This window comes from Homo sapiens, chromosome 8 (genome assembly GCF_000001405.40).
Source record: "Homo sapiens chromosome 8, GRCh38.p14 Primary Assembly".
Taxonomy (NCBI): domain Eukaryota; kingdom Metazoa; phylum Chordata; class Mammalia; order Primates; family Hominidae; genus Homo; species Homo sapiens.
Window position 1 is genome coordinate 100,396,437 of NC_000008.11, and position 15,685 is coordinate 100,412,121.

Sequence of the window (15,685 nt, forward strand, 5' to 3'; positions counted from 1 at the left end):
TCCAGGAGTCAGCACTCAACTGAACAGCTGGAGGAATCCAACAGGGAATCCTGTCCCCAGGGTTTCCCTCTGCTGCACTCTTTGCTGTAGTCCTCAGCTTGTGTCTCTCGAAGTACTCTGCATGTTGTATTTTTATTATTTGTTGTATTTTGTCTCAAAACCATCTTATTGATCTTTGGACAACCAGAATCTAGGCACATTATCAGAGTTATTTAGAGAGCTTATACAAATAAATTTTTCCTTTGAGTTAAAAGAATAAGGCTGGAGAACAAAATCATGCAGCCCCATTCCCCTCCCTGCAGATGCACTGAGAAACAGCATCGTTGAAGGTCCTGCCCAGACAACTAGAAAATAAATCTTCTGGGCCCAGGGTTCCAGAGTCACAGTCCTCGGTCTTTCCTCTTCCCACCCTGCAAATGGATGCCCAGGGTGGCAACTTTTGACGTTGACTCAGCGGAAGAAGAGAAATAGACCAAAGTGTTAGCAATGGTCATCCCTTTGATACTAAGCATAGTTTGTAACCAACTAAACATAAACATTTATAAAAATAAAATTAAAAAAATTAAGTTATTAAGTTGGGCTCCCATCAGCTGTTTCCATTAATTAGTGGGGACATCTGAGCACTTGAAAATTTTGCCAGTGTTTCCTAAGTTGCCTCCACAATTGAAGTGAGGTAGGAGGTTGATCAAATTTTCTGTATAACAGGAATATGGAGGCTAAGAACCTCTTCTAGAATGTTCAGTGAAGAGTCTAGGTTTTGGAGCCTGAGATCTCTAGAGTAAAAACTCTATATTGATTATGGCATGATAACCACACACACACACACACACACACACACACACACACACACACACATTCTTTGTTTCCCTACTGTAAGAGCAATAGCTGTTCATTGCAAAATTTTGGAAAATATAGAATTAGGAAGAAAAAGAAATCATCCAGATTTTTACCATCCTGAGACAGATACTGTTATCAGTTAAGGAATTTCCTTTCAGTGTTTGCATATATATTAAAATGAAATATGGATTATACTGTAGACATTGCCTTGCAGTCAGATGACACAATATTTCAAGGATGCTGCTCTGGGAAACTAAAGCTCATCTGCAGCAGACATAATACAGATGTGCTACAGTATTAGCTGGGGAGCTTGATCCTTGGGCACTTGGACAAAGAGAAGGGAAAGCTTAAGCATGCAGTCAAGGGCTTTAATTCCAGTCTAAACAAGAGCTTTCCTGGGTGACTTCACATTTATGGTGTAACTCAAGCTCCCTGACAATGATTTCAAGCTACTGTCAGAAGGGCAGGAGCTGACCCGGCAAAGCATAGAGAACTCCAGGGAATATATAATGACAAACATTTTAGCTAATACTGATCCACTGGAAAATCAGATTCCTTCCTGCCAGACGCTCAAATAAAGGCTGCAAATGCTCTTCTGAGAGACAGATTTAGTCTTTTAGCACTCAGGGCTGTTTTGAGAAAAATTAAATGTTATGTGGTTTGGAACTTGTGTCTATAAAATGCACACTGTTGACAATGGTTTCTCCCCACAGTCTACAGAATTAAATTTGTACAAAGAAGTAGCTGGTCTAGTTTATTAAGTGTAAGATTGGAAGCCAGAAGCTCAAATCAGCCTGAGAATCAGGCTGACATATTATCAAGTCTCACCTGGTCATTTCTCAATACCCTTCCCAGGAAAGCTGTAAGGGTTGCTAAAGTGACCAATTGTGGGTGGTTTGGCTTTAGGAAGGTGAAGTTTAGGGGCTCCATCTCTTATTGCATGAATTCTTCAAGACTGTTTCCAGATGGTATGTGGTTTTGCACTAACACAAGAGCTTGACAGATGAAGTTCATGGCTGGGCAATATGGAGGTGGTTTTGGCCAAGGCATAAGTCATAAGACTGTTATGGTTTAGCTCAGCAATGCTCAGCTTTCTGGAGCCTTTCTTTGAGAAATGTGTACTTAGTGTTATCTCAGCGAGGGTTTGTATCAACAAAAAGCCTTTTTTAGCAATAGCCCAAAAGCAGTTGCTACAAGAAAAGGAGAGGAATTTGCTTCTGTCCTGCCATCTCCTTCAGACACCGGCCAAAGGAGACTTCAGATCTTCCTTTCCCGACAAGTGCTCACAGCAATTTCCACAAATGAGCAAAGAAAATCTTCTGCCCTGAGCCAGCATTTCTGTCTGCTACAAATGATGGAAAATGTACTTGAGGTTTAATGTTGGGGAAATGTGTTTTTGTTCACTCAGCTCCTATTATAACCACATCTGTTATCAGTAGGCCAGGCTATGTATTAACAGGCATGACTTTCATAAACCTGGAGTTCTCTTCCATGATGTTTTGGCTGAAAGCATTAAACAGAAAAGGCCAAGAAAAGCCAACTCTTTGAGCCTGGTGATACTGCCCCTTGGATTCTTCTGGGAGGCCTGACTCTGGGTGTAAGCTCATTTAAATTCTCTCCATTTTAGGAACCTAGTCTAAAAGTGAATCAGAATAAAGAGCTACTCCATCTTTTGTTCCTGACTTCAGATATGCACCAAGTTTGATCACTTCAAAATCTCCCCCTTTTTCCACAATCTCTCTCCACAGATGGCACTAAGTTTTCTTTGATATTTCCTGAACTAGTATTCTACAGCCAAATGGCTTCCAAGAACAGCATCATCCAATGTCAGATCTGGAATTGACCTCAGAGATCCTCTAGACCACTAACTGTCAGACTTGGTTCTTTGGAGGAGGTGACTCTGGGATAACCAGAGGAGGGCAACATGAGAATGAACCAAGAGTGTGCCCCTGGCCGGGTGCAGTGGCTCATGCCTGTAATCTCAGCAATTTGGGAGGCTGAGGCGGGTAGATCACTTGAGTCCAGGAGTTTGAGACCAGCCTGGGCAACATGGCAAAACCCTGTCTCTACAGAAAATACAAAAGTTAGCCAGTCATGGCAGCATGTGCCTGTAATCCCAGTTACTTGGGAGGCTGAGGCAGAAGAATCGCTTGAACCCCAGAGGCGGAGGTTGCAGTGAGCTGAGATTATGCCACTGCACTCCAGCCTGGGTAACAGAGTGGAACCCTGTACTAAACAAACAAAACAAAAAGAATGCACCCCTGACACAACACACAAACACACACACACACACACACACACACACACACACACGTACCTCCACTTAGCTCCATCCTATCTGTCGAGACTCCAAGTAACAACTCATTTGAACAAAGGGTGATGTGGCTAAATAAAGTTTGAAACCCCCAATAAATCCTACCCTTAATTTCACTGGTAAAGAAATAAAATCCCAGGGAGGTTAACTGACCTACCTAGGCATTCTGTGATAGAGCCAAGTCTAGAGCCCAAGTGTTCTCACTCGTTTTGTTTGTTCATTCATTTATCCACAAATATTTCCTGTTCCAGCAAAGCGCTAATTGCTGTATCCAAAAAGACTTACTTAACAACTTAAAAAGTCACATCAGCTTAAAAAGATATTTTCCACTAACCTGAGCATCAGGTACATAATAACTTATCTTTCACTGGCTTATTTAAAGGACTTTCCTCATTAAATATCACATTTCTTCTGACTGCAACTGAGGAATTTGTGGTAAAGTCATATTACCATTTAAAATATGGGGAATATATTAACATTTGCAAATTCCGTTCATTTTTAAAACTTCTTTGCAGTTTATGTTAGTGGGGTCATAGTTGGCCTTCATCTAACTATAATGCCACTCAGTATTAAGTTTCTTTCAATGAAGGCAACATTTTCAAAAGAAATCATGTTTTTCTGGGCTTTATCTTCCTGGCTTCATACTTTGTACCCATCCTGTTGCATGAATGTACGTTGTAGAGTCATGATATGCGGTGTATAGCTCTGTCAGTATACTGACCACATTATTTCACAACTATCTTTTTCCATGTCTTTTTCTCCTTGCAGAATATGAACTGCTTGAGGGCAGCGATAGTGTCTTATTCATCTCTGCATCTCTGAACAGCTCAGAACAGGTTTTCAATAAATATTGGGGATTGGGGAGAATGGGGTGGGAGATGGAAAAGGAATCATGTACAACACCTCTACAGATCCCCTTCTTTCCTTCCTTCTTTCCTTCCTTCCTTCCTTCCTTGTCTCTCCTTCTCTCTCGGCTCACTGCAGCCTCAACCTCCCAGGCTCAAGCGATCCTCCTGCCTCAGCTTAGTAAGTAGCTGGAATTACAGGTGCGCGCCAGCATGCTCGGCTAATTTTTTGAAGAAACAGGATTTTACCATGTTGCTCAGGCTAGTCTTGAACTATTGAGCTCAAGTAATCCATCCTCCTCGGCCTCCCAGAGTGCTAGGATTACAAGTGTGAGCCACTGTGCCCGGCCTACAGATTTTTTTCTAACAAGGAAAACTTTATGAAAGATTGAAGTTCTCTGTTGAAACCAACCCTTTTAAAGCACAACACAGCTTGCTGTTCTTGAACAAAGAAGTCTTGCAATTTGCTTTCTTAGATTGAGATCAGTCTTCTGAATGAAATCTGTTTTGCTTAGAGGGGAGGTGGAAGAAGCCTCAAGAGAGTTCTTCTCCATCTTCTCTCCACCCTCCAGGTATTCTGACTATAAAAAGAAAACTCAGCAGCTGGTTCTCCTCTTTAAACATTTACCTATCTCTAAGGAAATGATGATATACATATAAAAATTTTTATGATGGACATATTCAAACATGCATAGTAGAGACAACAGAATAATAAATCCTCTATATTTATCAAGCAACTTCAACCATTATGAACATTATGACACTCTTGCATCATCTCTCTCCCCTTCCATGCTTTAAAACTATGCTAATGTGGTAGAATATCAAGTGGATATTAAAAACTACAAATATGTGAATTATGACCAAATATGGCAATGTTTATTGGAAGTAACATTTAATTACAACCACTGAAAAACCAAGTATACATTGATTAAATCTATGTAAAATGATACATTTAACATGTGGGAAGAAAATTTAGAATATTACAAATTGTTCAGGGTTTAATATTTTGTTTTGTTTTTTGAGACAGGGTCTTACTCTGTTGCCCGGCTGGAGCACAGTGGTGCGATCACTGCTCACAGCAGTCTTGAACTTCTGGGCTGAAGCAATCCTTTTACCTCAGCCTCTTGGGTAGCTAGGACTGTAGGCATGCACCAGCATGCCCAGCTAATTTATTTTTTTTCCAGTAGAGATGAGGCCTCATTATGTTGCCCAAACTGGTCTTGAACTCCTGGGCTCAAGCGATCCTCCTGCCTCGGCCTCCCAAAGTGCTGGGATTACAGGCATGAGCCACTGAGCCCAGCCGAGGGTTTAATGTTTATTTGCTCATGTCTGGTATCTTTGTTCAGTTTTGTTTTAAAATCCTACTTATAAAAACATTCTGATAGGTTCCAAGATGGCCAAATAGGAACAGCTCCAGTCTACAGCTCCCAGCATGAGCGACGCAGAAGATGGGTGATTTCTGCATTTCCAACTGAGGTACCGGATTCATCTCGCTGGGGATTGTTGGACAGTGGGTGCAGGACAGTGCATGCAGTGCACCAAGCATGAGCCGAAGCAGGGCGAGGCATTGCCTCACCCAGGAAGCACAAGGGGTCAGGGAATTCCCTTTCCTAGCCAAGGGAAGGGGGGACAAACGGCACCTGGAAAATCAGGTCACTCCCACGCTAATACTGTGCTTTTCCGATGGTCTTAGCAAACAGCACACCAGGAGATAATATCCCGTGCCTGGCTTGGAGGGTCCCATGCCCACGGAACCATGCTGATTGCTAGCACAGCAGTCTGAGATGGAACTGCAACGCAGCAGCGAGGTTGGGGGAGGGGCGCCTGCCATTGCTGAGGCTTGAGTAGGTAAACAAAGCAGCCAGGAGGCTCGAATTAGGTGGAGCCCACCATAGCTCAAGGAGGCCTGCCTGCCTCTGTAGACTCCACCTCTGGGGGCAGGGCATAGCCAAACAAAAGGCAGCAGAAACCTCTGCAGACTTAAATGTCCCTGTCTGACAGCTTGGAAGAGAGTAGTGGTTCTCCCAGCACAGAGTTTGAGATCTGAGAACAGACAGACTGCCTCCTCAAGTGCGTCCCTGACCCCCGAGTAGCCTAACTGGGAGGCACCATCCGGTAGGGGCAGACTGACACCTCACATGGCCGGGTACCCCTCTGAAACAAAACTTACAGAGGAACGATCAGGCAGCAACATTTGCTGTTCACCAATATTTGCTGTTCTGCAGCCTCCACTGCTGATACCCAGGAAAACAGGGTCTGGAGTGGACCTCCAGCAAACTCCAACAGACCTGCAGCTGAGGGTCCTGACTGTTAGAAGGAAAACTAACAAACAGAAAGGACACCCACACCAAAACCCCATCTGTACGTCACCATCATCAAAGACCAAAGGTAGATAAAACCACAAAGATGGGGAAAAAACAGAGCAGAAAAACTGAAAATTCTAAAAATCAGAGCACCTCTCCTTCTCCAAAGGAACACAGCTCCTCACCAGCAATGGAACAAAACTGGATGGAGAATGACTTTGAAGAGTTGAGAGAAGAAGGCTTCAGATGATCAAACTTCTCCAAGCTAAAGGAGGAAGTTTGAACCCAATGCAAAGAATTTAAAAACCTTGAAAAAAGATTACACAAATGGCTAACTAGAATAACCATGCACAGAAGTCCTTAAAGGAACGGATGGAGCTGAAAACCATGGCACGAGAACTACGTGACGAATACACAAGCTTCAGTAGCCGATTCGATCAACTGGAAGAAAGGGTATCAGTGATGGAAGATCAAATGAGTGAAATGAAGCAAGAAGAGAAGTTTAGAGAAAAAAAGAATAAAAAGAAATGAACAAAGCCTCCAAGAAATATGGGACTATGTGAAAAGACCAAATCGACGTCTGATTGGTGTACCTGAAAGTGACGGGGAGAATGGAACCGAGTTGGAAAACTCTCTGCAGGATATTATCCAGGAGAACTTCCCCAACCTAAGCAGGCAGGCCAAACATTCAAATTCAGGAAATACAGAGAACACCACAAAGATACTCCTCGAGAAGAGCAACTCCAAGACACATAATTGTCAGATTCACCAAAGTTGAGATGAAGGAAAAAATGTTAAGGGCAGCCAGAGAGAAAGGTCATGTTACCCACAAAGGGAAGCCCATCAGACTAACAGCTGATCTCTCGGCAGAAACTCTACAAGCCAGAAGAGAGTGGGGGCCAATATTCAACATTCTTAAGGAAAAGAATTTTCAAACCAGAATTTCATATCCAGCCAAACTAATCTTCATAAGTGAAGGAGAAATAAAATCCTTTACAGACAAGCAAATGCTGAGAGATTTTGTCACCACCAGGCCTGCCCTAAAAGAGCTCCTGAAGGAAGCACTAAACATGGAAAGGAACAACCGGTACCAGCCACTGCAAAAACATGCCAATTGTAAAGACCATCGAGGCTAGGAAGAAACTGCATCAACTAACAAGCAAAATAACCAGCTAACATCATAATGACAGGATCAAATTCACACATAACAATATTAACCTTAAATGTAAATGGGCTAAATGCTCCAATTAAAAGACACAGACTGGCAAATTGGATAAAGAGTCAAGACCCATCAGTGTGCTGTATTCAGGAAACCCATCTCATGTGCAGAGACACACATAGACTCAAAATAAAAGGATGGAGGAAGATCTACCAAGCAAATGGAAAACAAAAAAAAGGCAGGGGTTGCAATCCTAGTCTCTGATAAAACAGACTTTGAACCAACAAAGATCAAAAGAGACAAAGAAAGCCATTACATAATGATAAAGGGATCAATTCAACAAGAAGAGCTATCTTAAATATATATGCACCCAATACAGGAGCACCCAGATTCATAAAGCAAGTCCTTAGAGACCTACAAAGAGACTTAGACTCCCACACAATAATAATGGGAGACTTTAACACCCCACTGTCAACATTAGACACATCAACAAGACAGAAAGTTAACAAGGATATCCAGGAATTGAACTCAGCTCTGCACCAAGCGGACCTAATAGACATCTACAGAACTCTCCACCCCAAATCAACAGAATATACATTCTTCTCAGCACCACATCGCACTTACTCCAAAATTGACCACATAGTTGGAAGTAAAGCACTCCTCAGCAAATGTAAAAGAATAGAAATTATAACAAACTGTCTCTCAGACCACAGTGCAATCAAACTAGAACTCAGGATTAAGAAACTCCCTCAAAACCGCTCAACTACATGGAAACTGAACAACCTGCTCCTGAATGACTACTGGGTACATAACAAAATGAAGGCAGAAATAAAGATGTTCTTTGAAACCAACGAGAACAAAGACACAACATACCAGAATCTCTGGGACTTATTTAAAGCAGTGTGTAGAGGGAAATTTATAGCACTAAATGCCCACAAGAGAAAGCAGGAAAGATCTAAAATCGACACCCTAACATCACAATTAAAAGAACTAGAGAAGCAAGAGCAAACACATTCAAAAGCTAGCAGAAGGCAAGAAATAACTAAGATCAGAGCAGAACTGAAGGAGATAGAGACACAAAAAACCCTTCAAAAAATCAGTGAATCCAGGAGCTGGTTTTTTGAAAAGATCAACAAAATTGACAGACCATTAGCAAGACTAACAAAGAAGAAAAGAGAGAAGAAACAAATAGACGCAATAAAAAATGATAAAGGGGATATCACCACCGATCCCACAGAAATACAAACTACCATCAGAGAATGCTATAAACACCTCTACGCAAATAAACTAGAAAATCTAGAAGAAATGGATAAATTCCTCGACACATACACTCTCCCAAGACTAAACCAGGAAGAAGTTGAATCTCTGAATAGACCAATAACAGGCTCTGAAATTGAGGCAATAATTAATAGCTTACCAATCAAAAAAAGTCCAGGACCAGATGGATTCACAGAGGTACCAGAGGTACAAGGAGGAGCTGGTACCATTCCTTCTGAAACTACTCCAATAAATAGAAAAAGAGGGAATCCTCCGTAACTCATTTTATGAGGCCAGCATCATCCTAATACCAAAAGCTGGCAGAGACACAACAAAAAAAGAGAATTTTAGACCAATATCCCTGATGAACATTGATGCAACAATCCTCAGAAAAATACTGACAAACCGAATCCAGCAGCACATCAAAAAGCTTACCCACCATGATCAAGTGGCCTTCATCCCTGGGATGCAAGGCTGGTTCAACATACACAAATCAATACATGTAATCCAGCATATAAACAGAACCAAAGACAAAAACCACATGATTATCTCAATAGATGCAGAAAAGGACTTTGACAAAATTCAGCAGCCCTTCATGCTAAAAACTCTCAATAAATTAGGTATTGATGGGACGTATCTCAAAATAATAAGAGCTGTTTATGACAAACCCACAGCCAATATCATACTGAATGGGCAAAAACTGGAAGCATTCCCTTTGAAAACTGGCACAAGACAGGGGTGCCCTCTCTCACCACTCCTATTCAACATAGTGTTGGAAGTTCTGGCCAGGGCAATCAGGCAGGAGAAGGAAATAAAGGGTATTCAATTAGGAAAAGAGCAAGTCAAATTGTCCCTGTTTACAGATGACATGATTGTATATCTAGAAAACCCTACCGTCTCAGCCCGAAATCTCCTTAAGCTGATAAGCAACTTCAGCAAAGTCTCAGGATACAAAATCAGTGTACAAAAATCACAAGCATTCTTATACACCAATAACAGACAAACAGAGAGCCAAATCATGAGTGAATTCCCATTCACAATTGCTTCAAAGAGAATAAAATACCTAGGAATCCAACTTACAAGGGATCTGAAGGACCTCTTCAAGGAGAACTATAAACTACTGCTCAATGAAATAAAAGAGGATACAAAAAAATGGAAGAATGTTCCATGCTCATGGATAGGAAGAATCAATATCGTGAAAATGGCCATACTGCCCAGGGTAATTTATAGATTCAATGCCATCCCCATCAAGCTACCAATGACTTTCTTCACAGAATTGGAAAAAACTACTTTAAAGTTCATATGGGACCAAAAAAGAGCCTGCATTGCCAAGTCAATCCTAAGCCAAAAGAACAAAGCAGGAGGCATCACGCTACCTGAACTCAAACTATACTACGAGGCTATAGTAACCAAAACAGCATGGTACTGGTACCAAAACAGATATATAGACCAATGGAACCGAACAGAGCCCTCAGAAATAATACCACACATCTACAACTATCTGATCTTTGACAAACCTGACAAAAACAAAAAATGGGGAAAGGATTCCCTATTTAATAAATGGTGCTGGGAAAACTGGCTAGCCATACATAGAAAGCTGAAACTGGATCCCTTCCTTACACCTTATAAAAAAATTAATTCAAGATAGATTCAAGACTTACATGTTAGACCTAAAACCATAAAAACCCTAGAAGAAAACCTAGGCAATACCATTCAGGACATAGGCATCAGCAAGGACTTCATGTCTAAAACACAAAAAGCAATGGCAACAAAAGCCAAAATTGACAAGTGGGATCTAACTAAACTAAAGAGCTCCTGCACAGCAAAAGAAACTACCATCAGAGTGAAGAGGCAACCTACAGAATGGGAGAAAATTTTTGCAATCTACTCATCTGGCAAAGGGCTAATATCCAGAATCTACAAAGAACTCAAACAAATTTACAAGAAAAAAACAACCCAATCAAAAAGTGGGCAAAGGATATGAACAGACACTTCTCAAAAGAAGACATTTATGCAGCCAACAGACCCTTAAAAAAATGCTCTTCATCTCTGGCCATCAGAGAAATGCAAATCAAAACCACAATGAGATACCATCTCACATCAGTTAGAATGGCGATCATTAAAAAGTCAGGAAACAACAGGTGCTGGAGAGGATGTGGAGAAATAGGAACACTTTTACACTGTTGGTGGGATGTAAACTGGTTAAACCATTGTGGAAGACAGTGTGGCGATTCCTCAGGGATCTAGAATTAGAAATACCATTTGACCTAGCCATCCCATTAATGGGTATATACCCAAAGGATTATAAATCATGCTGCTATAAAGACACATGCACACGTATGTTTATTGCGGCACTATTCTCAATAGCAAAGACCTGGAACCAACCCAAACGTCCAACAATGATGGACTGGATTAAGAAAATGTGGCACATATACACCATGGAATACTATGTAGCCATAAAAAGTGATGAGTTCATGTCCTTTGTAGGGACATGGATGAAGCTGGAAACCATCATTCTCAGCAAACTATCGCAAGGACAAAAAACCAAACACTGCATGGTCTCACTCATAGGTGGGAACTGAACAATGAGAACACATGGACACAGGAAGGGGGACATCACACACCAAGGCCTGTTGTGGGGTGGGGAGAGGCGGGAGGGAAAGCATTAGGAGATATACCTAATGTAAATGACGAATTAATGGGTGCAGCACACCAACATGGCACATGTCTACATATGTAACAAACCTGCACATTGTGCACACGTACCCTAGAACTTAAAGTATAATGAAAAAAATAATTAAATTAAATTAAATTAAAAAATAAAAACATTCCAATGTTTCACTGTCATTATATCATTAAAAGTTTTCCAGTTGTCCGTGGCTCCAAGATTCCTACTTGCACCTAATATCCATTCTTTCTTTCTTACTGATAGAACTCCCAATTTTCAACTGGGCAAAAGGCCACCTGTAATAAAAATTACTTTCCCCTGCTTTTTTTTCTGATATATGTGGCCATGTGATTAAGTTCTGGCCAATGAAATATAATATGTTATGTATAAATTTAAGAAAATGTCCTTGAAGGGCATGAGCATGCTCTTTGACCCATTCTTCCTTCCTATTGGCTATAATGCAGATATGATGGCTGGAGCTCAAGCAGCTATAGTGGACCATGAGGTAAAATATGCCAAGAATGAAAGGGCAGTTAGAAGGCTGGGTTCCTGATGACTGTGAAGACACTCCATCAGCTCTGGGCTACCTCCCTCCAGACTTCTTTTACATGAGAGAGAAAGAAGCTTCTATCTTATTTCTTAGGACTTTAGCCTTTCAACTTTTTCTCATATAAAGAAAAATATTAATTAGGCCACTGATTAATGGTTCATTTCTCCATTTAGTTCTGCTCATAGAATCTTTGTAGGATTGTAGCAATCCCTAGTTTTCCATACTGAGAAAACTACATGGTCCCAGCCTCCCAAGTAGCTGGGACCATGGGTGTGCACCTCCACACCTGGCTAATTTATTTTTAAAAATATTTTGTAGAGACCGGGGCTGGGGGTGGGGAGGTCTCCCTATGTTACTCAGGCTGGTCTTGAACTCCTGGCCTCAGGTGATTCTCTTGCCTTGGCCTCCCAAAGTGCTGGGATTACAGGTGTGAGCCCTTGCGCCCCTGGCCTGGAATGAATCTTAAAAGTTTTGTGGGAGGCTTTGGACAAACAACTTTTCATTTTTTACCATCTCAGAATCTTAGAACAGGAGACTGGAAAACTGCAACTATCTTGCCACCACAAGGACAGAACTTTATCTAAGAATGGAGCCAACTCACGGAGGCTGACCTAGAAGGTAGAGAAAGAGGATTTCCTGTTCTTCGTGACATCATTTAGGCCCCAGTGTCAGGTGTGCTGCAGCCAGTCCAGCCTTTAGATATCTCAGGTGTCTACATCAGTTAAGTTCTAGTTCCTTATTGTTATTGTTGTATGACTTGTCACTCGGTTTACCGGATAAAACACAGGACACCCAGTCAAATTTGAAATTCAAAGAAACAATAACTAATTTTTATTATACATATGTTCCAGATATTGCATGGGACATACAGTAAAATTTTATTCATTACTCATCTGAAATTGAAATTTAACAGGGTGTCCTGTATTTTTATTTGCTAAGTCCAGCAACCCTTCTTGTAACCAAAATGTGTTAGTGTTGGATGGCAACACAGTGTTCACAAGAGCATCTGTTGTTTGGGTGAATGGGAGAGAGAGTCCTTGGCGGGCCCAGATGCTGCAGAACCACAAAGCCTGAAGAGGTTGCTTCCAGCATTGTTTCCAAAACAGGGTGTCACACATTCATGTTGACAGTGCTGAGGACTAGGGTGGGTGAGGGGCAGGCATGCAGGGGCCTGAGCTGAGCCAAGAATGAGCAGGAGGCTCAGACCTAGACATGCAGAGGAAGACAAAGATCAAGACATATAAAACACACTTAATTTACTTTGTATTCAGTAGTATAGTCAAGGAAGGGGGAGACAGAGAGAGAGAGAGAGAAAATAACAATAGAAATAATGCAGGTGATGATGACACCAGCCATAAGCAGAGTGGTCCTGGAAAGAATTTAGAGGGTGCCATATATGTGTGACTGGTCCCTTATCTGGCCTCTCACAGTATGAGCTTCTCTCTGGGCTGAATGTGATTCAACGGTCACGGGGATGATAGTCAAAATGTTGAACAACCAGCACTGTCAGACTCATTTGCACTCATCAAATATCAGCTCAGGCTTTCTGTCTGAGCGATTTCCCATGAACCATTGACTTGAGCCCCTAACTTCTGCAGAAGAGGTCACACTTCTTTAGAATGTGAGAAATGAAGTAACAGAAACCAGGCATCTACAGAGCCCAGAGGTCTCAGTGCAGAGCCACGTGAGGGCTGGCAGGTCGGTAATCAAAGGACAAGGCAAAGCACGTTTGTGGGGCTGGAGCAGCTGGAGCTCTTTGGCAGGATGTGCCAACCTCCCACTCTTGCCTTTCTTGTCACAACCCTGCGTCATCCTCTGAGGGAGTTCCTGGGAACCTGGGGGTGGCCCCTTGCTTGATTCCTATCTTGGAGTCTCTTCTGAGCGTCACCAGCCACAGCCCTGATTCCTGAGTATCTCTGGCTCTTGTCTGGCATCAGGTGGTTTCACCTGCCCTCCGAGCCTAACCCTCCTAGGACCCACGTCAGCACTGTTCACACCAGTGTGTGACGCCTGCTTCGGAAACAACCAGCTTTGATAAACCCTTTTATTACAGTCATGGATTTCCCAGACCAGAAACCTTTCCAAACCCTCCATGTCATGCTGTGTGAGAAAATCTATCTCACTCTTCAAAAATAAACTGAGAACTTGGAAAAAAAAAATCAACCATACTATTTGTACCCAAAATACAGCCGTTGTATGGATCTCTGTTGCCTACTCACCATGAAATCGTAGATGGTTGTAAGTAATGAACTGTAATGATGACGCATGGAATGGGGCAGGCTGGGCTATGAGGCTCCCAGGGCAGAGGGGGTCATATCAGTGAATACACATGTGAGGGCTGAGGGACAGGGAGGGGACTACTCACCAAGCTGTGTTTGTGTCACTCATTAGATATGCATGGACTGAAAAAGATCAGGGAACATGCTTTGAATTGCAGATAATAAGGCAAAAACATATTTTTCTATTTTTGCTCTGTAACTCAAATATCCCCAGACCTTGCTAGCCTGTGGGTACCAAAGAGGTCATAGTCACATGAGACTTTGAACATTGGTAGGCTCTGGGAGAGAGTGGCTGGGAGGTGGAGAGCGTTGGCTACACTGAGCCAGTCTTCCAAGGATATACTGATGCTGGTACATTGAATACTGGTATCAGACCACACTAAAGTACTGGTACTTAGCAAAGGCTTATACAAGAGGGATCCTACAGGGTTACTTGATGAGATGCTCATGTTACTGCTTCAGCAGCTGTGGCTCCTTCCCCATTAGCTTTACCAGGTCCAAGGCATTATTCCTGGAGCACCTACTTCACCTGGCTAACTCTCCTCCTCCTCCAGACTGCAGAGTCTTTGGGCAGCCTTCCCCAGAGTATGACCCAACTGTAGTGCAGGTGTGCATGTGAAGAGGATGGTGTGTGTGTGTGTGTGTGTGTGTGTGTGTGTTGCATAGGGTTTCCTGTATAAGAAAGGAACAACAGTAGATGTTTCATTCACAAATATCCACTACCACTGCCTGGCTTCCTCCAGCCCTGTACACCCACAGTCACCTGTTTGAGATTCATCATTAGAAATTCTTTAGGGCTAACAAGCTGCACTTTATTTAGAGTGTAAATACACTTCCTGGGTGAAGGGTTAAGTCAACAAACCTTTCTGTATATTTCTATCTCATTTGCTCTCATCACACCTTAGCTGCCACAGAGGAGGAAGACAGGAAGTAGCAGAGCTAGAGAAAGAAGAGGAGGAAGAGGAGAAGGAGGAGGAAAAGAGGGACAGAGGATGCAGTAGGATCAGGGAGGAGCTACACACCACTCTGAGTGAGACCAGCTTCTCTTTCAAGACGTTCTCTTTCCCTTCCACCTCTAGCTTCTTTGCATTTAAGATGGATTCCAGAAAAATACCCACTCACAGGGTCTCTCTCTGATGGCACATATATGAAAAGAAAGTTTTCTGGTTTGAGGTTTAGTGCAAACTTTTGCCACCAGCTCTGGTTTTTGTTTCCAGCCTTCGGTGGTTTCCTCCCCCAGGCCAGTCTCTCAGGCTCTCTTTTTCTCTGGGCAGCCTCTATTGCCAAGGCAATGGGGTTTCTCCTACAGCTTCCCAGCCACAGCCTGGAAGCATTTGGGATCTAGACCACGTTCCTCCCCAGTCCTACTGCTCTTCTCTCCTTGGGCCGCTCACTTACTGAATCCTGGGTCAGGGCACACAACTCAAGACAATGGTCAAGAGAGACTCCCTGTGCTCTTCAACCCAGTGCCTC

General features: G+C 42.4%; 2 annotated features.

The window, feature by feature from the left end:
• Positions 13,264-14,463: an enhancer, noted in NCBI's record as "P300/CBP strongly-dependent group 1 enhancer chr8:101421928-101423127 (GRCh37/hg19 assembly coordinates)". NCBI's record gives its function as "activates an origin of replication core promoter dependent on BRD2, BRD4, P300/CBP, MED14 and CDK7 cofactors, with strong dependence on P300/CBP, by STARR-seq in HCT116 cells {active_cell/tissue: HCT116}" and the evidence as "EXISTENCE:reporter gene assay evidence [ECO:0000049][PMID:35650434]".
• Positions 13,526-13,645: an enhancer, noted in NCBI's record as "active region_27695". NCBI's record gives its function as "activates an Ori minimal core promoter by ATAC-STARR-seq in GM12878 lymphoblastoid cells {active_cell/tissue: GM12878}" and the evidence as "EXISTENCE:reporter gene assay evidence [ECO:0000049][PMID:35858748]".